This window comes from Homo sapiens, chromosome 5, assembly GCF_000001405.40.
Source record: "Homo sapiens chromosome 5, GRCh38.p14 Primary Assembly".
NCBI classification, from domain to species: Eukaryota; Metazoa; Chordata; class Mammalia; order Primates; family Hominidae; genus Homo; species Homo sapiens.
In genome coordinates this window covers 24,984,880-24,996,591 of record NC_000005.10, presented here as the reverse complement: position 1 = coordinate 24,996,591, position 11,712 = coordinate 24,984,880, and the positions used below count along the sequence as shown (strand labels likewise).

Sequence of the window (11,712 nt, the reverse complement as noted above, 5' to 3'; positions counted from 1 at the left end):
AGCATCTGTTATTTTTTGACCTTTTAATAATAGCCATTCTGACTAGTATGAGATAGTGTCTCATGGCTTTGATTTGCATTCCTCTAATGATTAATGATGTTGAATATTTTTTCATATGCTTGTTGACCACTTGTATCTCTTCTTTTAAGAAGTGTCTGTTCATGTATTTTGCCCATTTTTTAATGGGGTTGTTTGTTTTTTGCTTGTTGATTTGTTTAAATTCCTTATAGATTCTAGATATTAGACCTTTGTCAGATGAATAGTTTGCAAAAATGTTCTCCCATTCTATAGGTTCTCAGTTGACTCTGTTTATAGTTTCTGTTGCTGTATAGAAGCTCTTTAGTTTAATTAGATCTCATTTGTCAATTTTTGTTTTTGTGGCAACTGCTTTTGGAGTCTTCACTGTTAAATCTTTGCTACGGCCTATGTCCAGAGTGGTATTTTCTAGGTTTCCTTCTAAGGTTTTTATAGATTTAGGTCTTCCATATAAGTCTTTAAGCCATCCTGGGTTGTTTTTTTTATATGTCGTGAAAGTAAGAGGTCCAGTTTCAATCTTCTGCATGAGGTTAGCCACTTATACTAGCACTATTTATTGAATAGGATCTCCTTTCTCCCTTGCTGGTGATTGTTAACTTTGTCAAAAATCAAATGGTTTTAGGTGTGTGGCTTTATTTGTGGGTTCTCTATTCTATTCCATTGCTCTATCTGTCTGTTTTTGTGCCAGTAACATGCTGTTTTCACTACACTAGCCTTCTATTATTGTTTGAAGACAGGTAACGTGATGCCCGCAGCTTTCTTTCTTTCTTTTTTTTTTTTTTCCTTAGGATTGCTTTGGCTATTTGGCCCTGTTTTTGTTCCATGTGGATTTTAGAATAGTTTTTACTAATTCTGTAAAAAAAATGCTGTTGGTAATTTGATAGGAATAGCATTTAATCTATGAATTGCTTTGGGCATTATGACCATTTTAACTATTAGGTTGATGCAAAAGTAATTGTGTCTTTTTTTCATTAAAAGTAATGGCAAAAACCACAGTTACTTTTTCACCAACCTAGTATTTTGATTCTTCCTATCAATGAGCATAGAATTTTTTCCATTTGCTTGTGTCGTCTTCACTTTCTTTTAGCAGTGTTTTGTAGTTCTCACTGTAGAGATCTTTCACCTTTCTGGTTAGCTATATTCCTAGGTATTTTATTCGTTTTGTGGCTATTATTAATGAGGTTTTCATCTTGATTTGGCTCTCAGTTTGGATGTTATTGGTATATCAAAATGCTATTGATTTCTGTACATTTATTTTATATCCTGAAAATTTGCTGAAGTTTTTTTATCATATATAGGAGCCTTTGGGCAGATACTATGGGGTATTCTGGGAATAGAATCATTTTGTCTGCAAAGAGAGATAGCTTGACTTCCTCTCTTTCTATTTGAATGCATTTTATTTCTTTCTATTGACTAATTGCTCTGGCTACGACTTCTAGTAATATATTCAATAGAAGCGATGAGAGTGGGTATCTTTGTTTTGATCTGGTTCCAAGCAGAATGCTTTCAGCTTTTCCCTGTTTAGTATGATGTTGGCTGCAGGTTTGTCACAGATGCCTCTTATTTTTTTGAGGTACATTCTTCAATGTCTAGTCTGTTGGGGGTTTTTAACATGAACTGAGGTTGGATTTTGTCAAAAACCTTTCTGCACTTATTGAGATGATCATGTAATTTTTGTTTTTAGTTCTGTTTATGTGATGAAAGACATTTATTGATTTGCATATTGTTAAACCCCCCTGTATCCCAGAATAAAAGTCCACTTGATCATGGTGAATTAGCTTTTTGATGTGCTGCTGGATTTGCTTTGGTTGCATATTCTTGAGGATTTTTGTACCTATGTTCAGCAAGGATATTGGTTTGAAGTTTTCTTTTTTCACTGGAGCTCTGTCAGGATTTGGTATCAGAAAGATGCTGGTTTAATATAATGAGTTAGGGAGAGGGAGGCATGCTTCCTCCTTGAGTTTTTGGAATAATTTGAGCAGGATTGGTACCACATCTTCTTTATATGTTTGGTAGAATTCATTTGTGAATTGGCCTGCTCCAGAATTTTTTCTGGATGGTAAGTTTTTAATTACTGAGTCAATTTCAGAACTTGTTTTGGTCTGTTTGGTGTTTCAGTTTCTTCCTTGTTCAATCTTGGAAGGTTGTATGTTTCCCGGAATTCATCCATTTTTTTTTCTAGGTTTTCGAGTTTGTATCAGAGGTGTTCATAATAGTATCTGAGAGATTTTTGTATGTCTGTGGGATCAGTGGTATTGTTGCCTTTGTCATTTCTGGATTGAGTTTATTTGGATCCTCTCTTTTTCTTCTTTATCAGTGTAGCTATATGGTCTATGTGTCTTATTTATTCTTTCAAATAACCAAAATTTGTTTTCTTTGTCTTTTTAATGATTTTTGTACCTCAATTTTGTTCAGTTCAGCCTCATCTTTGTTATTTCTTATCTTCTGTAGCTTAAAGATTGGTTTGCTCTTGTTTTTCTAGTTCCTCTTGGTGTGATGTTAGGTTATTAATGTAAGATCTTTCTAACTTTATGATGTGGGCATTTAGTGCTATAAACTTTCCTTTTAACACTGATTTAGCTGAGTCCCAGATATTCTAGTAGGTTGTATCTTTGTTTTCAGTAGTTTCAAAAAACATCTTGATTTCTGCCTTCATTTTATTGTTTCCTACAAGTCATTCAGCAGCAGATTGTTTAATTTCCATGGGATTGTATAGTTTTGAGAGCTCATCTTAGCATTAACTTCTATTTATATTGTACTGTGGTCTGAAAGTGTGCTTGGTTTGATTTCATTTTTTAAAATTTGTTGAGAATAGCTTTATGGCCACGTGTTTGATTTTAGCATATGTGCCATGCGTAGCTGAGAAGGAGGAAAAAAAGGATTTTATTTCTTCTTCATTTATGAAGCCTAATTTGGCTAGTTATAAAATTCTTTCTTGGAATTCCTGTTCTTTAAGGATGCTGAATATAGGTCGTCAATCTCTTCCGGCTTGTAGGGTTTCTACTGAAAGGCCTGCTCTTCACCTGATGGGGTTTGCTTTGTAGGTGACCTGTCTCTTCTCTCTAGCTGTCTTTAATATTTTTTGTGTGTGTTTATCTTGGTGAATTTGATGACTATGTGTCTTTGAGATGGTCATCTTGCATACAGAGTATGTGCGATGTACATTCTGTTGTTGGGTGGAATGTTCTGTAGATGTCTGTTGGATTCATTTGGTCAATGTGAATTTTAGCTTCTTAATATCATTGTTAGTTTTCTGCCTTGATGTTCTGTCTAATACTATCAGTGGGGTGTTGAAGTCTTCCATTAAGTCTCTTTGTAGATCTTTAACAACTTCTCTTATGAATCTAGGTTCTCCATTGTTGGTTGCATATATATTTAAGATAGTTAAGTCTTTTTGTTGAATTGAACTTTTTACCATTATGTAATACCATTTTTCGTCCTTTCCAATCATTGTTCCTTTGAGTCTGTTTTGTTTGAAATAAGAGTAGCAACACTTGCTGTTCTTTGTTTTCTATTTGCTTGATAGATCTTTCTCCATCCCATTACTTTGAGCCCATCGGTGTCACTGCATGTAAGACCTGTCTGTTATAGAGCGAATAGAGTTAGGTTTTTCTTCTTTATGCAACTTGCCATTCTGTGTCTTTTAAGGTGGTGTTTAGTCCATTAATATTTAAGGTTAATATTTCTATGTATGGATGTGATCCTGTCATTGTGTTGTTAGGTTTTTTATGTACACTTGATTGTATAGTTGCTTTATAGTGACAACGATCTGTGCACTTAAGTGTGTCTTCACGGTGGCTGATAATACTCTTTCTTTCTCATGTTTAGCACTCACTTAAGGATTTCTTATAAGGCAGGTCTTATGGTAACAATTTCCCTTGGCATTTGCTTGTCAAAGAAAGGATTTTATTTCTCCTTCACTTATGAAGCTTAGTTTGACTGGACATAAAATTCTAGTTTGGAATTTCTGTTCTTTAAGGATGCTGAATATAGGCCCTCAGTCTCTTCTGGCTTGTAGACTTACTGCTGAAAGACCTGCTGTTAGCCTGATGGGGTTTGATTTGTAGGTGTCCTGCCTCTTCTCTCTAGCTGTCTTCAATATTTTTTCTTTTGTGTTGACCTTAGTGAATTTGATGACTTTGTGTCTTTGGGATGGCATCATGCATAGTATCTCAGTATTTTTTTCCTGAAATTCCTGAATTTAAATATGGACCCCTCTAGTCAGTCTGGGGAAATATTTGTGGACAATATACTCAAATGTGCTTTCCAAGTTGCTTGAACTCTCTCCCTCTCTTTCAGGGACACCAGTGCGTCATATGTTTGGTCTCTGTACATAATTTCATATTTGTCAGAGGTTTTGTTTACTTTTTAATTCTTTTTAAATTTTTTTTTCTGCCTGAGTTGAGTCAATAAAGCGGTCTTTGAACTTGAGATTATTTTCTTAGTTTTGCCTATTTTACTGTTAATGCAATTATATTATGAAATTATTTTAGTGAACTTTTCAGCTCTATCATCTTAAAATGGCTATTTTGTCTTTCAGTTATTTTTTATTTTTTTAATTTTTTTTTTTAAGACTGGGTTTTGCTCTTGTCACCTAGGCTGGAGTGCAATGGCATGATCTTGACTTACTGCGACCTCCGCCTCCAAGCAATTCTCCTGCCTCAGCCTCCCAACTAGCTGAGATTACAGGCACTGGCCACCATACCCAGGTAATTTTTGTATTTTTAGTAGAGACGAGGTTTCGTCTTGTTGGTCAGGCTGGTCTTGAACTCCTGACCTCAGGAAATCCACCTACCTTGGGCTCCCAAAGTGCTGGGATTACAGACCTGAGCCACTGCGCCCAGCCTGTCTTTCAGTTCTTGAATCATTTTACTGAATTCCTTAAATTTTTCCACTTTCTCTTGAAACTTGATGATGTTTATTGCCATCCAGCTTCAAAATTTTGTTTGTCATTTCAGCCATTTCAACCTAGTTAAGAACCATTGCTGGAGAGATAGTGTGGTCTTTTGGAGGTAAGAAGACACTCTGGGCTTGGCATGGTGGTTCACGCCTGTAATCCTAGCACTTGGCGATGCCAAGGTGGGAGGATCTTTTGAGCTCAGAAGTTCAAAACCAGCCTTGGCAACATGACGAAACCTCATCTGTACCAAACACACAAAAATTAGCTGGATGTGGCAGTGTGTGCCCGTAGTCTTAGCTACTCTGGAGGCTAAGGTAGGAGGATCACCTGAGCCCAGGAGGTCATTGCTATGGTGAGCTGAGATTGTGCACTCCAGCCTGGGCAAAAGAGTGAGTCCCTGTCAAAAATAAACAAACAAAAACACACTCTGTCTTTTAGAGTTACCGGAGTTCTTGTGCTGGTTCTTTCTCATCTGTCTGGACTGTTGTTCCTTTAATTTTTGAAGTTGCTGTCATTTGAAAGGTGCTTTTGGCTTTTATTTTCTTTGATGCCTTAGAGGATTTCTGTGGCATAAGTTGGGTTTGGTTGAATGGCTTTGCTTCTGGGCCAAGGGGGGCCAAGAAAGAACTCAGGGGTTGAGCAGGGCCTGGGATTACACCCATGGCTTTGTTCCCTCTCCCTTCAATATTAAGCATCTGATGCACTGGAATGGCCTAGGTGTTCTTGTCCCTGACAACAACAATCTGATGGTGAGTTCTGGCAAAAGCACTTCACTGGGGCAGTGACAACTGGGCCTACATTCACATATGTGTGCTGGTGCATGTAGGGTATGAATGACTTTTATTTCATTATCTTGTCTAATCATTCTGGCTAGGACTTACAGTACTTTGTTGAACAGAATTAGTGAGAGTGGGCACCCTTGTTTTGTTTCTGAAGTTAGAGAAAAAATTTTTGGATTTTCACCATTGTGTATCATGTTAGCCATGGACATGTCATATATAGCCCAAATTATCTTAAGGTAAATTTCTTCTGTATCTAATTTATTGAGAGTTTTGATCATGAAAAGATGTTTAAATTATTACATGCTTTTTCTGCATCTACTGAGAATATCTAATGATTTTTATCTTTTATTATGTTAATGCGGTATATCCCATTTTTTGTTTTGCCTACGTTGAACCATCCTGGCATACCAGGATTAAATTCCACCTGATCATGTTATGTATAATCATTTTAATGTGTTACTAAATTTGTTTCGCTAGCATTTGGTTGAGAATTTTGGCATTTTGCGTATCAGGTATACTGGAATAAAATTTTCTTTCATTTCAATTTCCTTCTCTGGTTTTGATATCATGGTAATACTGGCCTTGTACAAATAAGTTTGGGATGTTTCTTCCTCTTTATATTTTTTGCAGAGTTTAAAAAGGATTTATGTTAATTCTTCAAATGTTTTGTAGAACTTAGCCTTGAAGTTATCTAGTTTGAGCTTTTCTTTTTGTTCAGAGATTTTTGATTACTTATATAATCTTCTTACTCATTACTAGTCTGTTTAGATTTTCTAATTTTTCGTGATTCAATCTTGGTAGGCTGTATGTTCCTAGAAATTAATCAATATTTCTAAATTATTCAATTTATTGGCATATAATTTTTCTGAGCAGTCTCTTGTGACATTTTGTGTTTCTTTGTTGTTAAAATGTCCATACTACTTAAAGTAAGCTACATAATCCATGCAATCCTATAAAAATTCAAATTGCATTTTTCAGAGAAATAGAAACATTTATATGGAAGGAACCACCAAAAATGCAGAATAGCCAAACCAATTTTGAGCAAGAAGAGCAAAGCTGGAGGCATCATACTTACTGAAATCAAATTATATTACAAAGCTATACTAATCAAAAACTATATAGTACTGAATAAAACAGGAAATTAGACCAATAGAATAGAACAGAGAGTCCAGAGATAAATACATGTATATACAGCCAACTAATTAAGACAAGAATGACAAAAATATATAATGGGTAATGGATAGTCTCTTTAATAAAGGGTGTTGAGAAAACTGAATATCTGCATACAAACAAATAAAATAACACTTATGTTATACACAAAAATCAACTAAAATCGGTTAAAGACTTATATATATGAGACTTGAAGCAATAATACTCTTCAAAGAAAACAGGCAAGAAGCACCTTGACATTGGTCTTGGCAATGATTTTTTTTTAAATATCACAAAAAGAACAGGCAACAAAAGCAAAAGTAAACAAGTGAGATTAAATCAGAGTAAAAACTTTCTACACAGAAAGTTTTTAACAAAATGAAATGGCAACCTAGTAAACAATAGAAAATATTTTCAAATCATATATGTGGTGAGGGTTAGTATCCAAAATATACAATGAAATTATACAACTAAATAGCAAAAATCCACCAATAAACCTGTTAGTAAATGGGCGAAGTATCCAAAAAGACATTTTTCCAAAGAAGACATACAAATGGCCAACAGGCATATGTGCTCAACATCACTAATCATCGGGAAAATGCAAATCAAAACCACAATGAGCTATCACCTCACACCCGTTAGAATGCCTATTATTAAAAAAAAAAAAGACAAGAAGTATTGGCAAAGATATGGAGAAAAGGGATTCTTGTACAATATTGGAAAATTGATATAGACATTACAGAAAAGCATAAGGAGATTCCTTAAAACTTAAAAGATAGTATTACCATATAATCCAGAAATTCCATTTCTGGGCATAGAAATCAGGATCTTGAAGAGATGTCTGCCCTTAGATGTTCATTGCAGCATTATTCATAATAGCAAAGGTATGGAAACAAAATAAAAGTCCATAGATGGATGAATGGATAAGGAAATTGTGATAAATACATACAATAGCATATTACTCAGCCTTAAAAACAGAAAACTTTGCCTTTTCAGATAATATGGATTATCTTAAACAAAATAAGCCAGACATACAAAAATACATTCCACATTAACTCACTTAGGTATGGAATCTTGAGGAATCAAACTCAGAAGCAGATTGTAGTATGCTGGTTTTAAGGGGCTGAGGTAGAGAAAATGGGGAGGTAGTGGTTAAAGAGTGTGAAGCTTCAGTTATGCAAGATGAATAAATTCTGGGAATCTATAGAACATAGTGCCTATCACTAACAATACTGTGTTGTTTATTTCAAATTTGCTAAGATAGTAGATCTTATATTAAGTGATCTGTTAAAAAATAAGAAAAAAAAAGAAACAAAGTGAAACAAAAGAAAACAAACAATAGTAATAAAGAGGATGAGAGAAATTTTTCAAGGAGATAGATATGTTTATGACCTTGATGGCGGTGATGGTTTCATGGACACATTCTTATCCCAAAACTCAATGAGATGGGGATATTAAGTACCACAGCTTTTAAAATGTCTATCCTATCATAATAAAGTAGTTAAAATATGTAATTCAAAAAAGATACCCCAAAATTTAGTAGCTTAAAAAGCAAGAGGGTTTTTTCTTAAGTAAATGTTCTGGGCAGGTATATCGGCCAGCAGAATACTCTTCTGCCTTGTCATCCAAAAGCTAAGCCCACAGCAGCTATGAAATTCAACAGATGTCTCCAAGGTCACTTTGGTTGTTACCAGGCCAGTCATTCAAGATGGACAAAGAACATGGAGTATCATACATGTGAGAATTTATGAACAAGATCTGGAAGGGGTACCCATCGATTCCTCTAACCGGTGATCGAATATAAATTAACCACATGGCCATTCCTAATTGTAAAGGAGGATGGGAAAAATAAACTAGTTTTATTATCAATAAATAAGAGAATATATATCAGTTGGCAGTTAGCAGTCTTTCAATTCAAAAAGGTTTCTGCAAAAACATTGAGTCTTACAAATATAGGTGCAGATAATGATATATTTTAATTTTTATAATAGGAAATTGGAAACAAAATACTTGTTCCACTATTGATTATTGATTAAACAATTATAGCTCATATTTTAACAAATTATTATGGAGCCATTAAAACTTACAATTTAGAATATTTTAAAACATGTCTTGTTGCTATATATTTATGTATTCCAATACTCAAAATATTCAGTATATATGTATTCATCTTTAAAGATTGAAAAGAACTGGAAAAAATACGAAATATGCTGATTTCTATGTGTGGGTTTTTGTATTTCTGTAAATGCTTCTCTGTTTCTAAATAGTTTTACAATGATTATGTATAATTTTTAGAATCAAAATGAAAAGTGCAAAATTATTTATAATAGTTATATAAGCATGCCATTTGAACTACTTTAAATAAAAATAGGTAGAAAATTATTTTTACAATGAAAAATTATATTTTTCCCCATTCTCACTTGTTGGAAAAGAGGAACAGATTTTCCTCCCACGTGTGAGAAAAAAATCACCTTGGAAAAAGGCAAAACATGCGACACTTTCGTGCAAACCAAGACTTTTTCAGAATAATGTCAGGTTCTGAAAACAGAAGTTTGTAATAGAAAGTGTTTAGTAACATTAATCATAGCATTTGGTACAGTCTTGCCATAATGTCTAAACATTTATTTAAAGCTTTTTTAGAGTTTTAAAAGTACCTACATACCGGGTGTTTTTTGAACTTCATATTAAAGTATCAAATATGTTAGTTATTTATTTACAAATGTTCAAGGATTTTAATGGTATTAATATGTAAATAATTGCATTAAAAATAGACCTCCAATATGATTTATGCATCTTGCTATTAAAATTTGGAAAAATCTTAGAAGTTGCAAAAATTCCACTTTCTTTTCTTTCTTTGTGCTTTTCTAATGTGGCCTACATCCTCCCAAGCCTTATAGGATTAAAATTTTCTAAGCAGGGACAAAACTTTAAAGTGCAGTTTTCTTTCTGTAGACTTTGTAGCAGCATTTCTTAGGTAGCCAATTCAAATAATTTCTGTTTCTTTTCAATGTTCAAGAAATAGTCAAAATGAAAAGGAATGAACTTAAGTAATAAATATGTATGTCTCTGTAGGCATGTGTGTCCATACACCTACATATATATATTTACATATTTTATTCATATACATGAAACGTAGCAAGAACTGATGCATGTAACTGAACCTGTCAAACACTTCTGATTGCCACAGTGGTGACATTGTCTGATATAATCAAGAATAATTGTACTTTTTCTCAGTTAAGTATACTTCACATGGCTTTTGTCACTGAGGAATGACATTATCATAAAACGATGAACGTCATTGAAACACTTTTTTCTCAATAAATACATTACTATATATCACAAATAGATAAGGATTTCACTATAATAGTATCATCATCAAACCTAAAAGATTAAACATAGTCCATTCATATTCTGTAATAACAGTCCATGCTCATCTTTTTGAAATATTAAAAATACATTTTTATATAATCCAGATCCAAATGGGGTCCATCATTTACTTTATTACAGCCTCTTCTTCATTTAGTCTGGTTCATGCCTTTTATTTATTCATTCACTGTTTAAATGGGCTCATTTATTCTTTAGAATTTCTCACTTTCTGAAATTGTATTATTTCATTCTCATGATGTCATCTAACATATTCCTCCATTGCCTAAGTTTTTGGTGAATGTAAAGTTAGATTTAGAGGCTCAGTAAGCTCTGATGAGGTCACTATGAGTTTTCAGACAAGGCAAGAAAGGGTATTAAGTTTACTACCTTACAGGAGTAAGCTTTAAAAGAAATGAAAATTCAAAGAATATCCTTTGACAATTTTCAAATAGAATATGGATTGGTGGGGAAAGACAGTAAAAACACATTTATTCCTAATTTTTTAAAACCAAAGATGTAGTAATGGCTGTACAGAGCACAAGTAAATGGGATATAAATTAGAGTGACTTTTTCTGTCCTCCCGTTTCTATCTGGGGACACTCTTCATACGGGTAATGTCTTGTCAGAGTTGGAAACACTGCCACATTCTTGTCTTTCCACAATCTTTTCATACTCCAGGTTGCAGCATCTTCTTCAAAGATTTACACTACTAATCTCTGCAACTCTCTTAAGTAAATATTATACATATTAATGTTTTTCTATATCTGCAGCAGCACAGCATCAGCGAGGCCATATCCTCTCAGCAAAGGCAATGGGATCCCTTCCCAGGTGACCCTGAACAATCTCTGCCTTTCCAGGATCCCAGATAGCCCATTTCTATATAGAATTCTTTAGAGGCAGGGGAAAAGTGATAACATCAGGCACATCCAATCTGAATGTAGCTGGGCATGCTTTTAATATAAGCCTGTTGTATAGTATTTTAAAGAACTAAATGAGACTATGATGGATTAGCAATTAATTTGCGTAATGCATTAAGATGAAATTTTCCCTGTTTGAGACAGCAGATCAATTAAACGTAGTACCTAAAAAATAAAATGGCAAGATAATAGACCTGACAGAAATAAAACAGTGATGTTAGCTTTGCATATGAGACTATTCAGAACTTCTGATTTCTGTCTGCACAACACATTTGTTAGGTGTCAATGGAACATTCTATTCATTTCATTAGAACTTTTGGATGAAACTCAATTTTCATTAAACTCTGGTAATAGTCGTATGAATAAATGTGGTAGCTATTAATATTTTGGTATATGGATTGAATCTAAATATAAAAAAGACTGCGGTAACCCAATATTCAATACATGTGGCATGCAGTCAGAGACAAGGCATTCACACATAAGATTCCTGTTGGATCAGATGAGATGCATTATTTTTAACTTTAAAATTCTAGGAATATATTATTCTGGAAAATATCTAAAG

General features: G+C 33.8%; 1 annotated feature.

The window, feature by feature from the left end:
• Positions 10,948-11,127: a silencer, noted in NCBI's record as "fragment chr5:24985574-24985753 (GRCh37/hg19 assembly coordinates)". NCBI's record gives its function as "represses an EF-1alpha promoter that drives an FKBP-Casp9 reporter gene in an ReSE screen in K562 erythroleukemia cells {active_cell/tissue: K562}" and the evidence as "EXISTENCE:reporter gene assay evidence [ECO:0000049][PMID:32094911]".